Raw genomic sequence first — 26,332 nt, 5'->3', positions numbered from 1 at the left:
AGAAGAAACTTCAAAGGTGGGATGGTCCTTACTGGTGGACATGAAGGGCCATGAAGTCCCCTCTAGGAAATCTGGGTGTTTATGGCAATGTGAAGCCAGTGCAGACAGAGTTGGCATTTTTATGGGTTTGGGTATTGTTAATCTCCCCCACGCTCTCAAGAGGTAGGAGAATGGTACAGTTTCTAGATATTTCAAGACAATAACTTTTTGCTTACCATCAAGGTGGTCAACTCTGACTTGTTTCACCCCGCAGGAACGTGTGCACAAAACTCTGGCCAAATTATTTGTATTAGTCCATTTTCATACTCCTAATAAAGAACTGCCTGAGACTGGGTAATTTATAAAGGAAAGAGGTTTAATTGACTCACAGTTCAGCATTGATGGGGGGGGCCTCAGGAAACTTACAGTCCAGGCAGAAGGCAAAGGAGAAGCAGGCACCCTCTTCACAGGGTGGCAGGATGGAGTGAGTGCAGGCAGGGGAAAGGTCAGACGTTTAAAAAACCATCAGATATGCATGAGACTCATTCACTATCACCAGAACAGCATGCAGAAAAACTGCCCCCATGATCCAATTACCTCCACTTGTTCCCACCATTGACGTGGGGATTATGGGGATTACAATTCAAGATGAGATTTTTGGGTGGGTACACAGCCAAACCATATCATTATTTCTCCAAGAGGGGGCAAGAAACATGAAGGTGGAGTAGGCCTACTCAACTGCACCTGGTAACAACTGGAATGATGCTGCTGCTCCCCCATAAGGCCCACTCCAGGTGCTCTGAAGTGTGCCTGGCCTCTGCCAAGTAACCCCAACGAAGCAAAATCATCGATTAAACTGAGGTGCAAGAACTTTATTTGACTCTCATGCAAAAGGTTTCACTTTTTAAAGATCTACTAAGTCAAAGGCCACTCTTTCCCAATTAAACCCAGCAGAAAAAAACAGTGACATAAACTGGGCTCTGGGGTTACAATTACATAATTTCGTAAACTCTTCACTTTTTTTTAAAATTTGAGACAAGGTCTCGCTCTGTCACCCAGGCTGGAGTACAATGGTGTAATCATAGTTCACCATGGCCTTGAAGTGGGTTCAAGTGATCCTCCTGCTTCAGCCTCCCGAGTAGCTGGAACCACAGGCGTGTGCCACCACACCTAGCTAACTCTTCATTCTGATTCCATAATTCCAGATAGAACCTCCCCTTCTTTCAGTTGGAACTAAATCCAAAGCCAGGACATTTTAGGGGACAACCTTGCCAGATGTGTAGCTCCACAACATTCCCTTGGCACCCAGGCCACTGGATTTCCAGAAAAGGCATCCAGCCATCACTAGCTCAGGCCTTTGGAATTTTCCATCCTTGGCTAAAGAAAAGGTTTAAAAAAAATAAACACAGTGATGGCTCTGTGCCACAAAGCACACTTTTTAGCCAAACAGAGGAGAGAGAAAGAAGAGGTGAGAAAAAGATGAGAAGGGGAGAGAAGGAGTGTGCCCACAGTCAAACAATGGTTCCCAGGGCATGGTAGAAGGGAGAAGTCAAGGAGCTGGATCAGGCAGCCAGATCCACAGAAGAGTTTCCTGGAAGGTGGCAGTGCAGAGGCAAACACCAGGAGCAGCAGTTGAGGAAAATCAGAATGGGGGGAAAGCAGTTAGGGAATAGTAGAAGGTGGAAAGGGGAAGATAGTAGCTTGCAAGAAAGAGAATGTAGTCAGTAAGAAGAAGCCAGTCCCAGTGGGGGCTGCTCTCAGAGAAGGTCACAAGGGCTCAGAGTGGCAGCCTCTATGGCCACCATTCCTGTCAAGCAGCGTTTTCTGCCTTGAGAAACACGGGTCTGGCAGAGGCATGAGCTGTTGGCTCCCCTTCTACCCTGGTAGAGGATAGGATGGAAAAAAGGAGGGCAGGCAGACCTAGCACCTGAGTCCCTCTACCCTGGGCTCCCAACAGAAATCTGGCCCCTATGGGTGTCTGATGGTCATGTGTCTCTGACCTCCATTGAAGTTGGAGAATGAGTTTCCCTATGTTCCAACTATCCTATATGCTGAATGGCATACAAGTATTTTCTCAATTCCTTAACTAACTGATTTGAGGTCCTGCATCATGCAAGTTGACAGTATATGCACTGTCTCCAGCCCCTGAATAAGTATCTACTCACCCCTTTGGTGCCAGACAAAACTGTTTCATTTATCAAGCACAATTTCTAAAGGACTTGATCTCTTCCTGTCTGAATCTAAAAATATACGGCTGCACTCATTAAATATTGTTAATATTTTAATCTCTGGTCTCTTGGTCTTTGTAATGGAAAAAAAATACCTTCCTTTTGCCCCTTTTTAATCCTTCAGTTTCTTGAGATTAAGCCCTGGTCTTGCCTTCCACCATTCCTCCTACCTCCTTGTCGTAAGTAGGTTTGATCTGTTAAAAAGAAATCAGCGGAGCAGGGCATGGTGGCTCACGCTGTAATCCCAGCATTTTGGGAGGCCAAGGCAGGCAGATTGTCTGAGCTCAGGAGTTCGCGACCAGCCTGGGCAACACGGTGAAACCCTGTCTTTACTAAAATACACGCATGGCGGCGTGCGCCTGTAGTCCCAGCTACTCGGGAGGCTGAGGCAGGAGAATTGCTTGAACCCCGGAGTCGGTGGTTGCAGTGAGCCAAGATCGTGCCACTGCACTCCAGCCTGGGCGACAGAGTGAGACTCCTTCTCAAAAAATAAATAAATAAATAAGCGGAAATAGATTCTCTGCTTCTCTTCAATTCAAGCAACAGTTCACAAACATTTCCCTTGGGATTTGAGCATGAACTGAACGACGGTATCTGTCTTCTCCCTCAGCCAGGGGAGCCATCTTCCACAGCTCAGCACAACTTTCTCTCTCTCTAGCTCACTCTCCAGCAACGCCCTCCTCCTTTCTAGTTCCTTCTGCTGCATAACACAGCCCCAGAGGTTCCAGGGTTCCCAGGCGTCAACTCTGTCATGAAGCTCATTGACCTAATGCACAGTACCCAGAAGCCTCGGTGAAGTTCAGCTGACAGCCAATAGAGAAAAGGAGAAACTCCAAAGCAGAAAGTAGTAAATCGCAAAATAAAATCAAATAAGCCAGGTTGAAGAGAATAAACCCACAATTTACAGAAAATGAACACCATTTTCTAAAAAAGATTTAAATAGGACTACAGTTAATACCCTTTCACATTTAATAATTAGTAGATATTCATCGTAGATAAGCACTTTCAAAAAATGGTTTAACATAATTCCACTGAAAACATCTGAATATTTACCCTGAGATGGTTTATAAGGAGAATTGAAACTGTTTTCCTATTGAGGAGGAAAAAAAGAAAAAATAGAACAGGAGAAAAGTGAAGATAGTGAATGTGTATTTTGTCTCTACAGATTTTCAAACACAATCTGGGAGTTTCCCCAACCTTTTCTATAATGATTTTCAGTGCATTACAGCCAGGTCAATTAGCCAGAGGCTTGAAAAAAGATATGCTGGGCCTGGGAGAAATATGGCCGTGGCCAATTAGAACCAAGGTAAAAATAGGAAATGCAATCCACATCTACGATAGAGTGCTTCTTCAGGACAGCAAAGCTCTGTGCCATCAGACACATCATGGACATCATACTGGCCAGTGTGAGGAGGGCTGATGCAAATGTTATCAGCCAGGAAACTTTTGTTCTATGTGTCTCTAAGATGGCAGTGACTAGATGTGGTAGAGAGGGGAAGTTTCCATTTATCTTTTAATTGAAATCATCATGAAGCCAGAAAGAACTCAGATAGATTTTCCAGTCCTTCCTTCTGCTTCTCCAATCATGTGTTTTAGAAAGCCATTTCTGGGAAGGGATTCTGTGATTACCTTGAAAATGCAGAAGGACCATGCCCAGTCTAACTTGACCTTCAGGCTGGGCAAAGCATCTCTTACACAGGACATATGAGAGGTATCTTGGGACTTGTGGCCAAATAGTTATTTTATGTGATGTGCAACCATCGCTTTCTCTTTTAAACACCTCCCCGCTGACCCCCCGCCACACACATACATCCACACACCCACACACACCCCTACCTCTTTGCTCTTTTCTTTAACTGAAGGTGGAAAATTCTATAGGCCTGAGCTGGCTAAATGCCCGCAAAGTGTCTGCCCAGCTTGTATCCTAAAACACCTCAAGTCTGAAAGCAGTGCCCGCTATAAGAACTCCAGGCTCAGGGAGTCCTGTGTGGGGAAAGACATTTAGTTATGAAGAATTTAAGAAAACATGTCAATTGAAATTGCAGACTGCAGACCTGTATTGCTTTCTTTCAGCCAAAATTCGCAAAAGGGATTGTGCTTCCTCATTTGAATTCTATGAAGACTTCTGCGCCTGGCTGTTTGCCAGATCCCTGTTCCTCCTCCACTGTAATGTCAGGACCTGTGCTGGGAACCCCTCTGACCCCAGGATTCCATCAGTCCTCAAACTTGGGTGACATCTTGCGTGATAGGCAGAATAATGGTTCCTCAATGATGGCCACATCTTAATCCGTGGAACCTGTGAATATGTTACTTTACATGGCAAAGAAGACTTTGCAGGCATGATTAAATTAAGGATTTGGAGATGGGGCAATTATCCTAGATTACCAAGGTGGAACCAAGGTCCTTATAAGTGAAAGAGGGAGGCAAGAGAGCCGGTGTCAGAGAAGGAGATATAATGACAGAAGCAGTGTGAGACTGATAGGATGTGAGAAAGACTCGACCAGTCATTGCTGGTTTGAGGAGGGAGGAAGGGGCCATGAGCCAAGGAATGTGGGCATCCTCTAGAAGCTGGAAGAGACCAGGCAATGGATCCTCCCCTACAGCTTCTGGAGGAAGTGAGGCTTTTTGGACACCTTGGCTTTAGCTCAGTGAAACCAATTTTGGCCTTCTGATCTCTAGAACTGGAACACATCTGTGTTAAGACACTAAGTTTGTGGCAATTCATTACAGTGGCAATAGGAAACTAATAGACCATAAAGCTAGTCCAGTCCTCAACAGGGCCACTTGCTGGACTGCGTTATCCCAGGCACTTTGTCTCCTCTGAGTTCTCTAAGCAGAAACTCACCCCTCCAGGCCAGGTGCAGTGGCTCACGCCTATAATCCGAGCACTTTGGGAGGCCGAGGCAGTTGGAACACTTGAGGTCAGGAGTTCGAGACCAGCCTGACCAACATGGTAAAACCCCGTCTCTACTAAACATACAAAAAATTAGCCAGGAGTGGTGGTGTACACCTGTAGTCCCAGCTACTCAGGAGGCTGAGGCAGGAGAATCACTTGAACACGGGAAGCAGAGGTTTCAGTGAGCCGAGATTGCACCACTGCACCCCAGCCTGGGAAGACTCTGTTTCCAGAAAAAAAAAAAGAGAGAAACTCACCCCTTCAATCCACAGTTCCACTGTGCTGGGCTCAGTCATATGGTCCTGGTGAGGGTAAGGCACCCCTCCTCAGGAAGGCCAGCAACAAGGCAAGAACTTACTCCTAGAGGAACTGGGCGATTAGCCAGAAAACTGAGGCAGGGGGTTAGCTATGGACAGGCTAGGGGGCCAGACAGAGATACAGTGAGTGAGACAAAGACACAAGGGGACAAGAAGATCCAAATCCAGTTGACTGGAAATGGATTTTAAAGGCAGGGCAGAACCAGCAGCCTATGGACTTGAAGAACCTGGGCTCTGAATATGAGACTCCCTGATGTCTCTGAGCCTAGGGGCAGTACTGAGCAAAGGAAGCAGGGCAGGCAGGGAGAGGGAGCTGGGTTTGTTATTACAGAACTGAAGCGAGAAGCCTTATGGAATTTTCTTCTGGCTCTCCTGATGAGAATTCTGCCAGACCATTTAGCAGGGACAGACGGAGGCCAAGTTCCCTTGCAAGTGGTCATGTCGGTCACTAGGAGTAGAGGAGCAAGTCTCCCCAGGGTCAAGTTAGCAAGGGAGGGCTTTCTTTGCTCCACAAACTATAGAGCATGTCGTAAACACTCGGCTGGACACAACGAGAGCTATTGGCCCCTGTGAGCTTTGAAATAACGATTCAGTTCCATGTATGTACCGGTTGATTTAGAACCTTCTTGAACTTAAGTTATTTCTTGGTGGGAAGGTAGGTACCTTGGAAGGTAGCATTCCCTCCTTCAGATCTCTAGGAAACGATTTAATGTACTGAAGCATTAGGAACGTGTTCACCTATGAAAGTAAACTGGCCATGCCAACAGCACTCTTCCATTCACACCGTGAACACTGTGACAACAGGCCCTGCAAGGCATAAAGCTGGCAGTTTCTCAAGTGGGAAAACTAAACTACTAATATAAAAGGCATGGAAAGAAATATATATGTTGTTATTTTTGGACAGCACTAACCCACTTGAAAAAAATCATGAAAACAGTTCCATGAAAATGATCCCAGGTACCTCTGCAGAGCCAGTGTTCTGGATATTTTTTTCCATATAGTTATTCAAATAGCAAAGTAAGGAGGGATGGCCAATTGCAAACAGTTCTCAATATCCTTAGGCTTACTTTGGCAAGCAAAAATCTATACTGATCTTGCCCACATTTCTCAATAACAACCCCATCCCTCTTTTTTTTTTTTTTGTCCTCACCTCCTACTTTCCCACTAAAGAGACCTAAGCTTGTTTAGAAATAAACACTGTTTCCCAATAGAGCGAGATCATCACCAAAACCACACAGAAAGAGCTTTCTCCACCTGATTGACTGTGGAATCTGGCATCCCTCTAGTATTTCTTCACATGGTTACTCCAAAGGAATCAGGACACCTGGAGTTCATTACCTGCTCTGTCATTTCATTAATATAAATAACCTATGGCCTGCCTCACTGAAAACCATGCCTCTGTTTCCCCACTTACAGAAGAGGGGTGATGACTATGTGATATGTGTTCAGTAGTGACCTGTAGACATATGAGGCCACAGATAGATATAACAGCATTTTTAAGTCTTAAGATTTCGGCTATAAAAACTCAAGGTCTTGTCACCATTTAAAAAACGGGCCGGGCACGGTGGCTCATGCCTGTAATTCCAGCACCTTGGGAGGCCCAGGCGGATGGATCACCTGAGGTCAGGAGTTCAAAACCAGCATGGCCAACATGGTGAAACCCCGTCTCTACTAAAAACACAAAAATTAGCCAGGCGTGGTGGCAGATGCCTGTAATCCCAGCTACTTGGGAGGCTGAGGCAGGAGAATCGCTTGAACACAGGAGGCGGAGGTTGCCACTGCACTCCAGCCTGGGTGACAGAGCAAGACTCTGTCTCCGGAAAAAAAAAAAAAATCTTATACAAATGAATTCCCCAGCCTTCTGACACACTTCACTGAAACACTTCAAATAAAGATGTTCTGTCTCAGAGACTTGGAAGCAACACTTGACTTCTCAGTTAAATCTTACCCAGTAAAATATTTCCAGTCATTAGGGAAAGCAATGCGATGGGAACGCTGAAGTATCAGAATATCTTCTAACATTTCTTAGCAGCTTGAAACATATACACAATCCAACAGAAGTCAAAAACGGCAAAAGCACATAACTTCCCATGAACAATAAACTCAATAGGCAATAAAAGTGGAGAAGAATCGCAGGAAATCATTAATAGCAAATTTAGGCATGATTGTGCAAGGCTGCACACAGACAAAAGATGAACCACGTAGAGCTGGAACACTCGGCATGTTTTCCACTGTACTGACTCTGCTAGGAACCTGTGTGCACTATTCTTTTTATTTTTTTGGAAAGACGGGGGTCTCGCTATGTTGCCCAGGCTGGTCTTGAACTCCTGGCCTCAAACAATCCTCCTACCTCAGCCTGCCAAAGTGCTGGCATTTTAGGCACTAGCCATCATGCCCAGCCACACACTATCCTTAACAGAACTTATCCTGCTACCACAAAACCAGAATAGCCAAATATAAAAGAATAATTTCTCGAGACAGCTTTAAGTTTTAAAATTTCCTATTAAAACGTATGTTTCCAAAATATAATTTTTTTTTTGAGACAGTCTCACTTTGTCGCCCAGGCTGGGGTGCAGTGGCGTGATCTCAGCTCACTGCAACCTCTGCCTCCCGGGTTCAAGTGATTCTCATGCCTCAGCCTCCCAAGTAGCTGGGATTACAGGCGTGCACCACCATGCCCAGCTAATTTTTGTATTTTTGGTAGAGACAGGGTTTTACCATGTTGGCCAGGCTGATCTCAAACTCCTGACCTCAAGTGATCCACCCACCTCGGCCTCTCAAAGTGCTGGGAATATAGGTGTGAGCCACCGCGCTCAGCCCCAAAATAGAACTTTAAAAAAGCATTTGCATTTCAATATTTATTTGACTATTAAATGTGAGGATTAAGAGTGAAAGGGATAACAATAAAGGTTTTTTGGTTTTGGTTTTTTGTTGTTTTTTTTTTTTTTGAGACAGGGTCTCAGTCTGTCACCCAAGCTGGAGTGCAGTGGCACAATCAAGGCTCACTGCAGCCTCGAACTCCTGGGCTCAAGGAATCCTCCCACTTCAGTCTCTCAAGTAGCTGGACTACACGCATGTGCCACCACGCCTGGCTCATTTTTGTTTTAATTTTGTAAAGATGGGGGTCTCCCTGTATCTCCCAGGCTGGCCTGGAACTCCCAGGCTCAAGCAATCCTCCCAGCTCAGCCTCCCAAAGGGCTGGGATTATAGGCATAGGCTAACGTGCCTGGCATCAGTGAAGGTTTGAAAGGGAAAGGTAGGCATGTCCAAGCTCTGTTTTTCCACACAGATCCCAATTCTCTTCTATTCACCCCTTTGCATAAATCACACTGAACAGGCTGGCATAAAGGTAAGTGCTTCTGCCAAAGGCCACAGGTACAGTTTCCCCAGTCTGGAGAGCCTTCCGGCCCAAGGCACAGGACAGAGTGCTTCTCCCCACTTGAGGACCAGCCTTCCCACTCACTCATTAAACTCGTGTGAAGGTAGAAAATGCCAAAAACCCAGAACCCTTGCTACCATCCACTAGGCTTTTCAGTATGACTAAGTCAGACTGGGAACGGGTATTGGCAAGAACCTCATGCAGAGGGGTCTGCCAGCTTGTTCTTCCAGGAAGGGTAAGATTCTTGGATCAGCCATGTGGCTCACCCCTTTGGGGCATCATCTGGAGCAAGGAATTAAAGCAAGGGTACCTGCTTCCCCTCTTCCAGTTAACTTTTCTGTCTGCTGACTTGTAACACATATACAAAAGACGTCTCTTGCCCACCATAAAGCCTGGGGATGATAATGCGAGCCAACAGTCATCAGTACTTAACAATTGGCAAACCCCACTTGAAGTGCTTTCAATATTATACATTAAGAATATAATAACTCACTCAAGGCTGGGCATGGTGTCTCACGCCTGTAATCCCAGCACTTTGGGAGGCCGAGGCAGGCGGATCATTTGAGGTCAGGAGTTCGAGACCAGCCTGGCCAACATGGCAAAACCCTGTCTCTATACTAAAAACACAAAACTTAGCCGGGCAATGGTGGTGCACACCTGTAGTCCCAGCTACTAGGGAGGCTGAGATGGAAGGATCACTTGAACCCAGGAGGCGGAGGTTACAGTGAACCAAGTTCGTGTCACTGCACTCCAGCCTGGGTGACAGAGCGAGACCCCGTCTCAAAAACAAAACAAAACAAATAACTCATTTAAGCCTTTCAACAAGCCCCTGAGGGGGTTACCAATGCCCAGGAAGGTTAAATAATTGGCCCAAGGTCATCTAGGGCTGAACTCTGAACCTGGGCAGCATGCTTCCAGAGCCCAAGCTCTTAACCACTTTGCTCTGAAGCACAAGCTTACAAAGGCAATGGCAGCTAACTGAGACTGTCTCTTTGCTCCATTCAAGCTACTGCTCTGGGAGCGTCCAGGGTGGGGTCCTGCAAGGAATCAAAAAGGCATCTGGCTGTAGGCTGATATAAACGGCAGGCCAATGTTACCCACCAACTCCTCTGCATGCCTGATAAAAATTAAACCAAGAGGGGTAAATCTCAAAGAGAAACGTATTCTAAGTACCCTTAGGATTTACAGAAGAAATGGCTCGAGCTGTACCCTCATGTAGTTTTGGCCTCCCCTTCCATGATAAACAAATTATTTTTAAAAACTAATCGTCTTTCAACATGACTTGCTGACAATTCTATAGCTCAGGAGAAAGCACAATCAGACAGGTGAATTACTCCTCTGAACTGAACAGCAAGGGTGGTTCTTGACGTGGAGCATGGGAAAGTAGCAACCACTGCTTGCAATCCACAGAGGTCAAGTAAGAGAACGCCAAGATGAGTTAGTTACACACGCACACTATATAGGAATTTCTCAGCCTGTTAGATGTTACCATTTACTCTCCACTTTCCATAAAAAGCCGGTTGGGGGTGGGGCAGGGTCTGTGGTCAAATAAATGTGGGAAATGCCATAAACAGAACAATGTTCATTAGTAAAGGCCTATTTAACCTTGTCGAACCCAGAAAGGACGAAAGTCTTGAAAAACGTTAAGGATCTTAAGAGAGAGCACTGGGGGCTGGGGTGGGGGTCGGAGATGGGGTGAAGACTGGGAAACCAATGACCACTGGACTCCTATCTGGCTTCTATCTTCTGTAGGTTATTTGCGTACTTCTAGTCTCCCTTAAAAGCAGGAACTATCCTATTAGCCTCTTCCTGAGCACCTGAGCAGGAAGTCAACCCCTCACTGACCCCCTGCTCCTCAGGGCAACTGCTGCTCAGACCCACCCCAGAGTGGGATCTGCCCAAGGGGTGGACTCACTTCCCATCCCCACCCCATTCTAACTGGAAGTCTGGGGCTGGCCTCCAGATCGTTTCCCCACACCCTGCCTCCCACTTCCCTAATCACCCCCAAAGGTGCAAACCTCTTCAATCAGCTAATCTCGCCTACAATTTCATCTCTGTCCACTCAGCCCTGGCCTTTTCCTGGCTCTTCTTCTTCCTGAACCCACTTGGAACACTTTCCACCTCTGCCCTCGAGAACCCTAGTCCTTTGCCAAAAGACAACCTTATATGCTCAGCCACCATCTTGCTTAACTGAAACCTGGCTTTGCCCTGACAACTCCCTCAAACAGAAGTTGCTCATTTTCTTTTCCCTTCCCCTATCAACAAACTTGCTTTTCCTTCAGTTCACACAAGCTGAGAAACCTCAAAATTATCTTGACTCCACCTCCGCTCTTCCTCTCTTTCTTCCTCCCCCTTCTCCTTCCCTTTTAAGAATCACCAAATCCTGTTGATTTTCTCAGCACAATGTTTCTTATGTCTTCTCCCTTATCTCCATTCTCATTGCCTCAGTTAAAAGCCTTTGTTCGCCTGGTGCAGTGGCTCAGGCCTGTAATCCCAGCACTTTGGGAGGCAGAGGTGGGTGGATCACCTGAGGTCAGGAGTTCGAGATCAGCCTGGCCAACGTGGTGAAACCCCATCTCTACTAAAAATACAAAAATTATATGGGGCGTGGTGGCACGCATCTGTAATCCCAGCTACTCAGGAGCCCGAGGCAGGAGAATCGCTTGAACCCGGGAGGCAGAGGTTGCAGTGAGCCAAGATCGTGCCTGGGCGACAAGAGTGAAACTCCATTTCAAAAAAAAAAAAAAAAGCCTTTGTTATCTCTCTCCAGAACTATATTAACTGTATTTTAAGTCATTTCCTGGCCTCCAGGCTCTTCTCCCAACAATGAGTCCATCCTACCCAAGGTTGGCAGTGTATTTTCACAAAACACCTAAGAATCTACTGCACTCCAGACACTGTGTGAGGGGCTGGGCTGGGAATAAAAATGAATACACAGCCCCCGGCTTCTCGGCTCACACCCAGAAATGATACAAAACATTGCCCCCTCCCTGACTGTATTCAGTGGCAGATCCTTCTGGAATACTGTTTTTTTGTTTGTTTGTTTGTTTGTTTGTTTTGTTTTGGCCAGATCTCTTTTTTTAACCTTTATGAATCACTTATACATTAGAAACTTTCCATATGTTACCTTCGTTATTCCCAAGAACTCCACAAGGGAGGTACTACTATTTATTCCCATTTCACAGATAAGGAAAATGAGACCAGGTTACTTGCGTCTGTTCACAATTCAGGCAAGTGACAGACGTTGGGTTCAAGACCAGATCTGATCCTCTAGCTTATGCTCTGTCTCTCACATCTTAAGTAGGACATAGAAAACTTGGAAAAGAGCCCAAACAGGATGATAATGATATGAAGAATCTTGAAACCAAGTCATGTGGGGAACGAAGGAAAGAAATGTAGCCTCTTTGGCTTTGTGAAGAGTGAATTTTAAAATGACATGGTGGCTGTCTCTAAATATTTGAGAGGTTGTTATGCAAAAGAGGAAGGAAGCAAACGTGTGGCTCCAACAGCAGAGCTAGGTCTAGCCCATGGTGAAATTTACACAGTAAATTTCGGCTCAAGAACCTTTTCTAACATAGCCCTCTAACAGGCAGGGGTGTTTAAGGAGAAGCTAAATAATCATTTGTCAGGGCTGGGTGGAAAGGACATTCCTGCCTTGAGTGGACAAGCGGTCTAGATGAGTGTTTCTGTGCACATGAGAATCATCTGGGGTCCTTTTAAAGAATACAGATGCAGGCCCCACCCCAGACTTAGCAAAACAGAATCTTGGGGGATGGAGACTGTATTGCAAGAATCACAAACGAGGAAATAAGTCTGTAAGCAGATTCATTCAAGCCTCAACAGAAGAACTATGAAAGGCCAATCAACATGAAAAACTGTTCAACTTTAAGAGTAATCAAAGAAATGCAAATTAGAACGGTGATGTACCATTTATTTCCTATCAAACTGCAAAAAATTTTTAAAATATTACTAACAAGCGTTGGCATGGGAGAGGGGAAATGAACACCCTCACACTCTCCTGGTGAAAGAGTAAACTGAAGCTACTTTCTGTAGAGCAATTTAACAGTATGTTTAAGAGGAATTTTTAATACTAAAAATGCATACAGTGTAATCTTTGAGCAAGCAAGTTCACTGCTAGAAATTTATCCTAAGGGGACGATTTGGCAATTTTGAAGATGCCTTCTCAAAGACATTCACTCAGTTACTGATGGTAATGCTCTTTATCTGCATATATAGTATATGCAGTCCAATATAGTAGCCACTAGCCACATGTGGCTATTGAGCACTTGAACTGTGGCAAGTGAAATTTAGAAACTGATTATTATTATTACTTTTTTTGAGTCGGAGTATCGCTGTGTCGCCTAGGCTGGAGTGCAGTGGTGGGATCTCAGATCACTGCAACCTCCACCTCCTGGGTTCAAGCGATTCTCCTGCCTCAGCCTCCCGAGTACCTGGGACTACAGGCATGCGCCATGACACTCAGCTAATTTTTGTATTTTTTTTTAAGTAGAGACGGGGTTTTGCCATGTTGGCCAGGCTGGTCTCAAACTCCTGTCCTCAGGTGATATGCCTGCCTCAGCCTCCCAAAGTGCTGGGATTACAGGTGTGAGCCACCATGCCTGGATATGATTATTTTTAATTAATTTAAATTTAAAAGTAAAGAAAGATATATAGCTATTTACCTTTATAGTTCATGTTTATAACAGCACAAAATTAGAAAAACTATCAAAATATCAAACAATAAATGATAATTACCTCTGGTACACCCATAATGAAAATTTAGGCAGTCATTAAATATGATTATATAGATTTGTATTTATTGACATCAAAAAATATTCATAAGATACTGATAAATGAAAAAAATTATTTAAAAGTTTGTGTGGCCAGGCGAAGTGGCTCATGCCTGTAATCCCAGCACTTTGAGAGGCCAAGGTGGGAGGACTGCTTGAGCTCAGGAGTTTGAGACCAGCCTGGGGAAACACTGTGAAACCCTGTCTCTACTAAAAAAACAAAACAAAACAAAAACAAAAAAAACTTTAGCTGGGCACGGTGGCGTTTGCCTGCAGTCCCAGCTACTTGGGAGGCTGAGGTGGGAGGATCCCTTGAGTCCCAAAGGTCAAAGCTGCAGTGAGCCATGATTACACCACTGCACTCCAACCTGGGTAAAGAGCAAGACTTTGTCTCAAAAAAAAAATACATAAACAAAAATAAAAAGTTTGTGTATATTTCTTTCCATCCATATATGTGTGTGGGTATGTATATGTATGTATAGATATGTATACATCTATATATACAGTATATATGTGTATTTATAGATGTGTATATATACACATAGAAAGAGAGAAAGGTAAATATTTACATTAAAATATTTACGGAGCTTCCTCTGGGTAATGAGATGGTGATAATTATTCTTACTTTTCTGTTTTTCTAGCTGTTGTACAATAAACAAGCATTTGGCATGTAATAAAGCAATGAAGGCCGGGCGCGGTGGCTCACGCCTGTAATCCCAGCACTTTGAGAGACCGAGGCGGGCGGATCACGAGGTCAGGAGATCGAGACCATCCTGGCTAACACGGTGAAACCCCGTCTCTACTAAAAATACAAAAAATTAGCCGGGCGTGGCGGCGGGCGCCTGTAGTCCCAGCTACTCGGGAGGCTGAGGCGGGAGAATGACGTGAACCCGGGAGGCGGAGCTTGCAGTGAGCCGAGATCCCGCCACCGCACTCCAGTCTGGGCGACAGAGGGAGATTCCGTCTAAAAAAAAAAAAAAAGCAATGAAAGCTTAAAAAACAAAGGTTCACTGGTGATTAGAATAGAAAAAGACTCAATCCAGAGAATTTTTTAACATGTTAGTCTCAGAAAACAAATTTTCCTATTTGGTGCTTAAACAAGGGTTCAGCAAGGAGGCCTCTCTGGCTTCACAGCAACCTGCACCGGTCTTTTGTACAGATCGTGGTGGAGTGGCTTGCTCTGGGCCCTGCTAACCTCCAGTAGCGAGACTATTTTATGTTTAGGTGCTAACACTCTGGTTAACTTTCCTGACCCTCAGTTCATTGACAGCTCAGTTCATTGAGAGCCTCTGAACTGGAAATGCTTGGTCAAGAAGCCCAAGTTGAAACTGGCTTTTATTCCGTATTGTTCTCACCTCCTTAGAGATGAGGCTGTGGGTTTTGTCCTATATTACCTACTTTACACAAATTCCCTTGGGAAGAGGGAGCAGAGGAGTGGTTCCGTTTCAGCGCTTCTCTAAATGCAAACATAACAAACATTCCATGCAAAGGTAGTTGTGAGCGGCGGGTTGGGGGAGTCAACAGCTGCAGACGCTTTTCAGCCATTCTCAGCTTCTGGAGAGCTTTTCTCTACTGGAGCTATTATACGAAATCTGGCTGATGCCAGCCAGGGGACGCTGCGTGCATTACGGCGCGTCCAGGGGCTACAACCCCTAATATCTAGCAACTCTTTCCCGATCTTTTGGCGCACAAGGAATTGAGGGTAAGCTCCGCAGTAAACAGTATTTAAACAGCTACTAGGCGACTCTTCCAGGCTGATAAAGTGGCTTCTCTAAAGGGCGGCCATAATACAACAGGTTTAGCAAAATGCCTTTGTTCCCCTGCGGCACCAGTAGCTACATCCTGAATTACAACAAAATCAATTTAAAAATTTAAAACTCTGCATTTTAAACAAGTACATATGTAAACACTTCTCTCTTAATCACATACACTCTCAGGTTATAATGTTTCTCCCCAATCCCCTCTTGAGAAATCTGTCAATGATGATTCTGTAATTATCCCTTTCCCTGGGTTAAAACTGACCTTCATAAAAATGCTGAACTTATAGGAAAATGCAGTAACAGTGGAACAGTCTCTCTGTCTGCTTTATTATGTAGTTAGTTAATAGATTCGTGGAAGTACTAATAACTGAATAACAGTTTGAATACGCAACAACATGCTATATATAGCCCAGGCCCAGCCATCTGAATTTTTCAAACAGTGAGGAAAACTGAATGATGTTAGCAACAGGCCAACAAGGGTGTAATTCCAAAATCCTTAAAAAAAAAATAAAAAAAAAACCTAAACAGGAAATACTGTATATTTGTACAGCTTGGTGGGTTTTCCATGTTCTAACAAGAGATACACCAGAGGAAAGCTTGACTTGCTGCGGTAATGGCTCTAACTCATATTGAAGCCCCAATGTGAGTATCTTGGGTTTATAGCACAAGTGTAAATCCTACCTCAGCTGTCCCTTAAAAGAATCAGAAGTTATGGCAGCAGCTGCAACATGGTCCCCTCACTCTCCAGCCACTCGTGGTTTTACTAACTTTGGTTAACAGCTCTTTGTGAGAGAGAGTCATTTAGGAGCATACATTCCATGTAAGAACTATTTCCTTATTTTTTCGTTGACTAAACTGCTTACAAATAGCATTTGCTAAGGCTCTATGAAGAATCTAAACTTGATTTGTGTGCATAATCTGGGTGTCCTATTGACAAAGACATTCCCATACACACAACCAACCCAGATTGTAAATAATGAAAACAAATGAAGAAAAAGATCATTTGCATTCTCATAATTATAGAGCATCTAGCATTGTGTGTGGCACATTGTAAGGGCTCAATAGATATTCATTGATTTAGATTACTAGAATCTGTTCTCCCTCACTCCCAAAATCTCAATGTGGTTCACATACTAGAGTAATGAGTAAATATTCCTCTGCATTGCCTGGTGTAAACGGTAAAAATCAATGACCTTGGTCCCAAGTAAGCTGGGCTGACAAGGGAACCATGGCCACTGCCAGCGTCTCCTAGAAAAGACTCCTGCCAATAACAGTTTTTCCTCCTTCGCCATAGAATCAATGGTCAGGAAGGAGCCGCTGAACCTACAATGCACAAAATTCTTTTGAAAACCTAAAAACAGGGGAAAGAATGCTAATGTTAACTTTTTGCTGCTAGGGTGGCAGGTCAAGTGCTGATCAAATCCCAGTGGAAGTTTTCTTAGTCCCATTTATTCTCGAGAAATCTGGCCACCTACAGCTTTCTTCACGTGTTGTGGTAGAAGGCCAGCCAACCCCGCTCAAGGAAGGTTTTTTGTTTTCTCTGAATTTAGGAAAGCGTTCTCTGCTAGGTAGATTGAATCACGTGTTAACAATCACCCAAGATGAGAGCCCTGGTATAAATGCTCTGCACACAGCTTGCCTTCCTCTCTTAACTGGCTGTGATGACAGGCAAGGCTCCAATCTGACCTCAACAGGTCCTCACTCCAAAATCAGACTGAAATACACAAGCCAAGTCCATTAAAGTAACATTAAAGGTCTGGATTTAGCTCCACTAAACAGCAGAATTAAACTTTCAAGGGTCTAGCCACAATAAAGAGATTTCTTTAAAGTCACTTAGGTTTGCACAGTTGTAGCTATTAGGGATCAGATCTTTATCTCAAAGGTACATAGTTTACCTTTGATCCTCCTCCAGAACTCCCACTAATGTCAACTTTCTCCACTGTTGGGATCAAGCCCCTGGCCTCCCTTTAATGCTGGGTTTTATTGCTGATTCTACAAGATCAACAGAAAAATTACAAGGAAAAGCTGTGAAGTTCCCTTCCGATGACAAGTTGTTTTAACAAAAAGAGCCCTCTCTTAAACGGTGAAATTTAAACACAGCAAACGACTCGCTGTAAAATGGAGCTGAGGGAGACAAAAACAAACAAAAACAACAACCAAAAAACAAAGTAACAAAACAAACACTAATTAATCAGTCCGATTGCTTATTCAGGGTTTGTTCGCTTGTCCAGGAAACTGGCAACGAGTGTCTTGAAAACAAGAGAAGGGGCAAGTGCCCGTTAGCACCCTTTAGCCTTTCTCCAGAGTCAGACAATCTGGATAAGGCTGAGGGTGCTCTGGGAGGGTTCCCAGGGAGTCAGCGCGCTTTCGAATCCCCATCCCCCAGTCCTGAGCTGTGGGGCTCTGACCCCAGGTCCTCCATCCCTGGACTGACACACCCAGTCTTCCCCCAAATCCCCACGGCACCGTCCCCTTGGTCCCCTTGCCTCTGGAGCGCTCGCGTGTCCCCGAGGGACACACTCTCCCTGCGGTGGATGACCCTGCGCCCACTCTGTCGCAGAACCCCGTTGTTTCTAATGCCCTTCCTCCGCAGCAGCACCCCTTCAACACCCATCACCACCCTCTCTCCCCAGTTGCAGGAGGAAGTCGCTCTGCTTCCTCTGTTCTCACCGCCAGCCCGAGCTTGGGCGCCCGGGGCTTTCTGGGTGGGGTTCTTTTTTGTGTACACAGTGTGTGTATGTGTGCGCGCGAGAGTGTGTGTGCCAAACGCTCATCGCATCCTTCCGCCTAGGCGGCCTCAGGTGCTCGCGGGAGGGGATCAGGATCTCGTCGTGCCCTTGTCCCCGGCTCTTTGTGCCGAGTCCAGAGCAGCGCGAGGTCAGCTCTTTAGCTCACACCCCCGGCCCCGACCCTGGGTGGGAGCCTCCGCCTCCGCCTCCTCCGCAGCCGTCCGAGCCCGGCTTTTGCCCGTCTGCTTCCATCCCGGCGCACGCCTCCGCCGTGCCGGGCGGCCGGAGAGCTGTCAGCCGGCGCCTGGGACTCGGACCCCGGCCGGCGGCTGCCGGTGCGAAAACTTACTGGAGCGGAGAAAGACAGCGCGCGGCGCACCAAGCGGCCGCACTGGCGCCGTTCCTGCCCCTTCCCGCGTCGCTCCCGCCTGGAGCGCGTCCCCCGGGATGCCCCGTCCCCCGGCCACTCACCAGCACCACGGAGCCCCGCACGGCCTCAGACACGCTCTGCCGGAGCTCAGCCGCCGTGCCAGGCTTGCTGAGCCGTTTGGTGAATTTGCGCACTTCGGCCATGGCAGCGGCGGCGGGCGGGTCTCGGCGGGCGGGCGGACCTCGGCGGGCGGGTGGACTCACTGCCCCGGCCCGCGGCGGCCGCGGCCGCTGCTGCTCCCTCTGTTTACTCGCCGGCCGGCCGGCCACATCGCAGCTCGGCGGCGGCGCGGCTCACGCTGCTCCTCCCTCCCACCTCCCACCCGCTGCTCCTCCCTCGTTCCCTCCTTCCCTCCTTTTCTCGCTCGCTTCGCCCGCTCACTGTCCTGCCCCACGGCGTCGGCGGCGGCAGCTCCCTCCCCTAGAGGGCCCGAGCTCCGATCGCCACCAGCCGAAGCAGGAGGGTGTGTCTGATGGGGAAGGGTGTGTAGAGGGGGAGGGAGAACTGGAGGTGGGGGCGAGGGTCACGAGGGAAGAGGGGGGAAGTGGCTACCGCTCGGGCTCCGCCCGCAGCTGATGTTGCTGGTGCAGCCGCATCCGGGAGGGGAGATCTGGGCTGCTTCTTTTTTTCCGCTTGAGTGGGGAGGGCGGGGTGGGGTGGGGGAACAGAGAGGGGTGATGAAATGTCTCCAAGAGTGGGGCGTGCTCCTCTCCCGCCCTAGTGCTCCTCTCCCGCCTCCGAGCTGCAGTGCCCGCAGGAGGGCTGGAGAACTCTCACGTCCCTCCACCCCGCAAGCCCCCAGGGCCCAGGCGGCTAGGGGCTGGAAAACAACGTGGAGCAGCCGCCTTTTGTGTGCTCCTTGGGGAAGGGTCGCACCAATGTCGAAGGACAGAGAGCTGCTTTCCAGCGTGAGCGGCTCGACTGGGTCCCCCTCCTCGCCCACACCGTTTTCCTACTCAGTTGGCTCACCTAACAGGGGGCAACACTGGGGAGAGAGCATGCTTCTGGAAGTGGGAACTTATTGTGGCGGCACCCCTCGCTCCGTCCCCCACGGGGGAGAGCTGGGTGGTGGAGCCTGAGCCTGTGGCAGGTGATCCCTAGGTCAGCACTGACTGCACCAGGAGTGGGGTGGGGGTGGGCATTAGGATGAGCCTGTGGCAGGTGATCCCTAGGTCAGCACTGACTGCACCAGGAGTGGGGTGGGGGTGGGCATTAGGAAGGCCATCTCCCTGGGTTTGGTGGACTTACCAATCTTATAGTAGCTTTTACAAGTGCCCTGCACTCACCTCTCCATTTCCTATTCATCTCCTTACTCTTTTCAGCTTCCAAGAAATTGTTTTTCCAAGAATCAAAGAACATCTCATAACAGGGTATAAAACGAACATGCTTAAGACAGAAATAGGGACGGGAATCTTGAAGTACTAGTGACCCTGTCAGACCTCCTGAAGTGCAGAGTGAAAGGCTCCACTGATGGTGGCAGTTTTCTATCTGGTTATTTCATTTGTTGAGAGTTTGAAAATGGCCCTCAGTCTGGGGGACCGAGCAGCCCTTCTGAAAGCAGTCCTACCACCACCCATCGGGCACTTTCCCCACCCTCAAAGACCAAACAGTCTTTTAGGGGACTTTATTATGGAAACAAGGGCATGCGTGGTGATGGTTTCTTTGAACCCAGAAAAGGCCAAGTCTCTTCGCAGTAAGCCTATTTCAGCCATCCCATCAGTCTCAATAAAGCATATATGGAGGCTCCTAGAGGGCCTGGGACCTGGAAGTCCTCTAAAGACATTCTGTCACAAATCTTAGTTTTGCACAGTACGTGTAAAATTTGTTAATTGTTGCGTGTAGGCTGATCTCCAAGAATTCATACCCTCTGTTCCATAAATGCCTGTGTGGCTCATGCTGTTGGTTACCACCACAATAGCTATAACACTTTTTGCTTGCAAAGAGAGCCCAGATTTACTTCAGATATAGGGCAGAGCCACAGGGTTTAAGGAAGGCAGGCCCAACTCCAGGTGATGAATCATGACTGATGAAAAAACCATGATAAGCTCCCTCTTATTGACTAGTGGGATGGTCTAGACTCCCAATCGGTTTGGGCCAATAAGATATAAGAGGGAAGTGTGAGAGGAGGGTTCCTGGGAAAGTTTTTCTACCTTGATGAAAAAAAAAGGAGAGAGGCCCAGGCCCCACTTTCTTCCTGAGAGGGATGTTTTCTTGCAATGCTTTGGCCCTTGGCAGCCATATTGCAACCATGAGGCAAGGCCAAGGCAATCTCAGAGAAGCCAATGTAGAATCCAGACAGCATTGAACTGTTGAACCAGGCCTGATACTGCCTACCTCTAGTTCCTTTTTATGTAAGAAAAATAAACCCCTGCAGTTTATGACACGTTTAGATGAATATTCTGTTACTTTCAGCCAAAAGCATTCTTAGTACCACAGGCTCTATGGTAGCCACTGAAGGTGCACAGCATTGAACAAGACAGGCAAGGTCCCTCCTCTCCTGGAGCTCACATGTCAGTGCAAAGAAATGAACATGTTAATTTCAGAAACATAAATGCTATGTAGAGAATTAAGGGGAGTTGATAGAGAGTAACTGGAGTTGGGGACCTAGTTTAAAATAGATGATCAAGAAAAGCTTCTTTGAGGAGGTAAACACTGAGCTGAGTCTTAAAGAAGCAGTCAGCAGAGATCAGCAGGTAGACCATTCCAGGCGACAGAAATGCCAGGAACGAAGGCCTAGAGATGGGGGCAGACTTAGTGTGTTCAAAGACCAAAAAAAGGCCAGTGTGGCTGGAGCGTAGAAGGAAGAAGAGTGGTACAAGATAGAGTAGGAGAAGTAAGCAATTTCTGCAGAGTATTGTGAGCCATGGGAAGCATATGTCACACTGATGGTGCACAAACACCATCTGGCCATTGTGCAGGCTCTATGCTCATTCTTGAGATTGTAGATTTCACTTCTTCTGGTTTAAGACTTCTATTTAAATACATAAACATTGAGCATGGTGCTACACACTGAGGGAGAATGCAGTATGAATTAAAGACACTATTTCCTTCTGGGAAAAAAAAAAGAAAGTCTAGTAGAGAATGTATTTATGGTACAAAGTAGTATGTGATACAGACCATACTCAAGGTAAAGAGGCAGGAGAGGCCGAGCGCGGTGGCTCATGCCTGTAATCCCAGCACTTTGGGAGGCCGAGGTGGGTGGATCACCTGAGGTCAGGAGTTCGAGACCAGCCTAACCAACATGGCAAAATCCGTCTCTACTAAAAATACAAAAATTAGCCAGGTATGGTGGCAGGCACCTGTAATCCCAACTACTTGGGAGGCTGAGGCAGGAGATCACTTGAACCCGGGAGGCAGAGATTTCACTGAGCCAAGATTGCACCATTGCCCTCCAGCCTGGGCAAGAAGAGTGAGACTCCATCTCAAAAAAGAAAAAAGAAAAAAAAAAGGCAGGAGAGATCATATCTTCTTAGGTCTATGAAAGGTTTTCTGGAACAGGGGGTGTTTGAGCATTTGAGCTGGACTTTGCGGAATGGGTAGGATTTGGATATAACTGCACTCACATAGTAAAGAGAAATCGTAGGTGCAATCTTACAACTTCCAATAGGGCATTTTATTGGGCGATTTCTTTTCCACATTCGTTAAATATATTCAGTTTTTATCACAAATTTAGCTGCTGCATTAACACTATCCTAATTCTATCCTAATTGAACCTGAGATACAAGTATTAGAAATGCCATTGAGCCCTTTGACTGAGAAATTCCACTTGTATAAATCAATGCCAAATAAAAACTTGCATATGTGAGCTCAGATGCCTGTATAAGGATGGTCATTATATCAAATGTTTGTAATAGCAAAATATTAGAAAGAACCTGAATGTCCATCTAAAAGGGACTTCTTTATGATCAGTCCCTAGACCACTGCCTGGCACATTGTGAGTGCTCAAAAAATAGTTGTTCAGCGAATGAATGAATACACATGATTTATTCAAATGAAGGGACTCTCTTCAGCTATTAAAAAAAGAATGAGGTAAATATGTATGTAATTACATTGAAAAAGCTCCAAAGGATATTCACTGATAAAAGCAAGTTGCAGAACAACTCTATTTATGAAAATGTGTATGTGTGGGCCAGGCGCGGTGGCTCACGCCTGTAATCCCAACATTTTGGGAGGCTGAGGCAGGCGGATCACCTGAGGCCAGGAGTTTGAGACCAACCTGGCCAGGAGTTTGAGACCAACCTGACCAACATGGCATGGCGAAACTCCGTCTCTACTAAAAATACAAAAATTACCCAGGCGTGATGGTGTGCACCCTGTAATCTCAGCTACTTGGGAGGCTGAGGCATGAGAATGGCTTGAACCCGAGAGGTGGAGATTGCAGTGAGCCAAGATCGCTTCACTGCACTCCAGCCTGGAGGATACAGCGGGATTCTGTCTCAAAAAAAGAAAAATTTGTGTGTGTGGTGTGTGTGTATATGTATGTCCCTATACATGAGCTAATAGTGGGGGCCTCATGGGTGGGGAGTGGAAGTGGGGAGCAAGGAGACTTTAACATTTTATCATCTAAATGCTAAAGACTCTCAAATTTTTATTTCCAGCCTCAAACATCAAACTTGTATATCGAACTCAGCATCCCCACTGGGATGTCTAGTATCTCTAATTAAGCGTGCCTAAAATCGAACTCTTATTCTTTCTCCACGAATCTAGTTTTTCTATAGTTTTCTCCATCTCAGTATATGATCATTCTTTCTAGTTCCTCAGAACAAAAGCCTTAGAGTCATCTTATTACCTACACACCCTTTATCCAACCAACAGCAAAGCCTGTTGGCTCTGCCTTCAAAATACGTCTGAAATCCAACCACTTCTTAATATCTCTACCAATACCACCAGCAACCCTTACCAAGCTTATGTCAATAGCCTCTCAACTGACCTCCCTGCTTTCACCCTTACCCTCCTGTAGTCTATTTGCAACATAGCCAGTGAGTCCCACCAACCCCCTATTCAGTTTCTACTTACAGTGACCTACAATATCTAGTGTTATCTCTTGCTGTGTAACAAATTACCCCCAAGTTTAGCAGCTTAAAACAATACACATGTATTATCTCACGGTTTCTGTCGTTCAGGAATCTAAGCATGGCTTAGTTGGGTTGTCCAGACCAGAGTCTCTCGCTAGGCTGCCATCAAGGTATGAGTTCAGGATCTCTCATAGGCTATGATCAAGGTGTCAGAGCAGGGGCCTCACCCATCTCAAGGTTTAACTGGGGCAGAATTTGTTTTTAAGCCCATTCACTGGTTGTGGCAGCATCCAGATCCTCACAGGTTGTTGTAGTAAGGGCCTTAGTTCCTTGCTGGCTGTCAGCCAGAGGTTGGCCTCAGTTCCTTGCCTCATGAGCTTCTCCAGAAGGCAGTTAATAACATGGCAGTTTACCAAAGTGAGCAAACAGGGCCAGGCGCAGTGGCTCACGCCTGTAGTTCCAGCATTTTGGGAGGCCAATGTGGGTGGATCACTTGACGTCAGGAGTTCAAGACCAGCCTGGCCAACATGGTGAAACCCTGTCTCTACTAAGAATACTAAAGTTGGCAGGGTGTGGTGGTGCATACCTGTAATCCCAGCTACTCAGGAGGCTGAGGTGAGAGGATCACTTGAACCCAGGAGGTGGAGGTTGCAGTGAGCCAAGATCCCACCACTGCATTCCAGCCTGGGCAACAGAGTGAGATTCTGTCAAAAAAAAAGAAAGAAAGAAAGAAAAGAAAAGAAAAGAAAAAGAAAAAAAAGTGAGCAAACAAGAGAGAGTTGAAAGAGTGAAAGACTACCTGCAATTGGAATCCACAGTCTTTTATAACCTAAACTTGGAAGTGGCATCCCATCAATTTTACTGTATTTTATTCACTAGGTCCAGCTCACATTGAAGGGGAAGATATTAACACAGGGCATTAATACTAGGAGGCAAGAATCATCTGGAGCCATGTCAGAAGCTGCCCATCACAATCTACCTGACCTGTCTCACTATAGCATTACAGCTTTTTTCCCATACCTGTCTGATCTCATCTCCTATTGATCCTCTCCTTTGCACTCCATGATCTACCACACAGGCCTCCTTGAGGGTCCCTGAATTGCCAAGGCTTTGTCCATCATCAAGGCCTCCTCACTTACTGTTGCTTCTACCCAGCGGAAGAAGCTTCATTACTTACTCTCTCAACATCTAGATTTTGGGCGTTCCTTGACCTTCGTATTTAAAAGTTCAACCCTCCTACCATCTCCTATCTAACTTGCTTTCTTTGTTTTTCTCCAAAGCACTTGTCACCATTTGATATACTATATATGTTTATATATTTATTTTATCATCTGTCTTCCGCACTAAAATGCACGTTCCATGAAAGCGGGATATTTTGTCTCCTTTGTTCACTGCTTTATCATCAGTGCCTAAAGCAGCACTGCCCAACAGAAATATAATATGAGTACATATGTAATTATAAATTCACTTGTAGCCACATTAAAAAATTAGTAAAAAGAAGCAGGTGAAATTAATTTTAAAAGTATATTTTTGTTGGGCATGGTGGCTCACACCTGTAATCCCAGCACTTTGGGAGGCCGAGGTGGGCGGATCACCTTAGGTCAGGAGTTCGAGACAAGCCTGGCCAACATGGTGAAACCCTATCCCTACTAAAAATGCCAAAACTTAGCCAGGTGTAGTGGCGGGCGCCTGTAATCCCAGCTACTCAGGAGGCTGAGACAGGAGAACTGCTTGAACTCAGGAGGGGGAGGTTACAGTGAGCCGAGATCACGCCATTGCACACCAGCCTGAGCAACAAGAGCGAAACTCCGTCTCAAAAAAAAAAAAAAAAAGTTTTCTAATGGCCAGGTGCAGTGGCTCATGACTATAATCCCAGCACTTTGGGAGGCTGAGGCAGGAGGATCATTTGAGGTCAGGAGTTTGAGACCAGCCTGACCAACATGGTGAAACCTTGTCTCCACTAAAATTACAAAAAAATTGGCCAGATGTGGTGGCTCACGCATCTAATCCCAGCACTTTGGGAGGCTGAGGTGGGTGGATCACGAGGTCAGGAGTTCGAGAACAGCCTGGCCAATATGGTGAAACCCCATCTCTACTAAAAATACAAAAATTAGTCGGGCGTGGTGGCACGCACCTGTACTCCCAGCTATTCAGGAGGCTGAGGCAGAAGAATCACTTGAAACCGGGAGGCAGAGGTTGCAGTGAGCCATGATCATGCCACTGCAGTCCAGCCTGGGCAACAGAGTGAGACTCCATCTCTAAATAAATAAAGAAATAAATAAAACCAGCCTGGTCAACATAAGAAGATCCCATCTGTACAAAAAAATTAAAAATTAAAAAATTAGCTGGGCATTGTGGTACACGTCTGTAGTCCCAGCTACTCAGGAGGTTGAGACAGGTGGATTACATGAGCCCAGGAGTTTGAGGCTTCAGTGAGCCGTGATTGTGCCACTGCACTCCAGCATGGGTGACAGAGCAAGACCCTGTCAGAAAAACAATTCTAATAATTATTTCATATCAGTTTTTGTATTTAAGTGTAAATTAACTAAAATTAAATAAAATTACAAATTCATTTCCCCAGTCGCATGAACTACATTCATGTGCTCAATAGCTCTATGTGGCTAGTGGCCACAACGTTGCACAAGGCAGGCCTAGAACAGTGCCCAGCACTTAAAGGTCACTCAATAATTAATTATTATATACAAATTGTGTGCTGCTTTTCCAATCAGAATATATTCATGATGACTTCAATGAGATAAATAAAGCAAAACAAAAGAAATCATGATACCATGTTCACTTCTGTGTGTTG

General features: G+C 46.1%; 1 protein-coding gene across 2 annotated transcripts in view, besides 6 other annotated features; it reads right to left on the bottom strand.

Moving 5' to 3' along the window:
- Positions 1-18,808, bottom strand: part of DOCK11 (dedicator of cytokinesis 11) — a 190,333-nt gene extending 171,525 nt beyond the window's left edge. For both annotated transcript variants that reach the window (XM_005262368.5, NM_144658.4), the window contains exon 1: positions 18,550-18,808. In XM_005262368.5, coding sequence (XP_005262425.1) covers positions 18,550-18,651 — 102 coding nt within the window. In that variant the 5' untranslated portion in view covers positions 18,652-18,808. The remainder of the gene's footprint in view (positions 1-18,549) is intronic.
- Positions 18,020-18,998: an enhancer, noted in NCBI's record as "H3K27ac-H3K4me1 hESC enhancer chrX:117629588-117630566 (GRCh37/hg19 assembly coordinates)". NCBI's record gives its function as "activates a minimal SCP1, AML or CMV promoter by ChIP-STARR-seq in naive H9 embryonic stem cells {active_cell/tissue: H9 hESC(naive)}" and the evidence as "EXISTENCE:reporter gene assay evidence [ECO:0000049][PMID:30033119]".
- Positions 18,281-18,340: a silencer, noted in NCBI's record as "silent region_20949". NCBI's record gives its function as "represses an Ori minimal core promoter by ATAC-STARR-seq in GM12878 lymphoblastoid cells {active_cell/tissue: GM12878}" and the evidence as "EXISTENCE:reporter gene assay evidence [ECO:0000049][PMID:35858748]".
- Positions 18,511-18,570: a silencer, noted in NCBI's record as "silent region_20948". NCBI's record gives its function as "represses an Ori minimal core promoter by ATAC-STARR-seq in GM12878 lymphoblastoid cells {active_cell/tissue: GM12878}" and the evidence as "EXISTENCE:reporter gene assay evidence [ECO:0000049][PMID:35858748]".
- Positions 18,661-18,740: a silencer, noted in NCBI's record as "silent region_20947". NCBI's record gives its function as "represses an Ori minimal core promoter by ATAC-STARR-seq in GM12878 lymphoblastoid cells {active_cell/tissue: GM12878}" and the evidence as "EXISTENCE:reporter gene assay evidence [ECO:0000049][PMID:35858748]".
- Positions 18,851-18,990: a silencer, noted in NCBI's record as "silent region_20946". NCBI's record gives its function as "represses an Ori minimal core promoter by ATAC-STARR-seq in GM12878 lymphoblastoid cells {active_cell/tissue: GM12878}" and the evidence as "EXISTENCE:reporter gene assay evidence [ECO:0000049][PMID:35858748]".
- Positions 19,401-19,470: an enhancer, noted in NCBI's record as "active region_29872". NCBI's record gives its function as "activates an Ori minimal core promoter by ATAC-STARR-seq in GM12878 lymphoblastoid cells {active_cell/tissue: GM12878}" and the evidence as "EXISTENCE:reporter gene assay evidence [ECO:0000049][PMID:35858748]".

This window comes from Homo sapiens, chromosome X, assembly GCF_000001405.40.
Source record: "Homo sapiens chromosome X, GRCh38.p14 Primary Assembly".
Lineage (NCBI taxonomy): Eukaryota > Metazoa > Chordata > Mammalia > Primates > Hominidae > Homo > Homo sapiens.
Note: the sequence above shows the minus strand (reverse complement) of the source record. Positions and strands in the feature narration are given on the sequence as shown.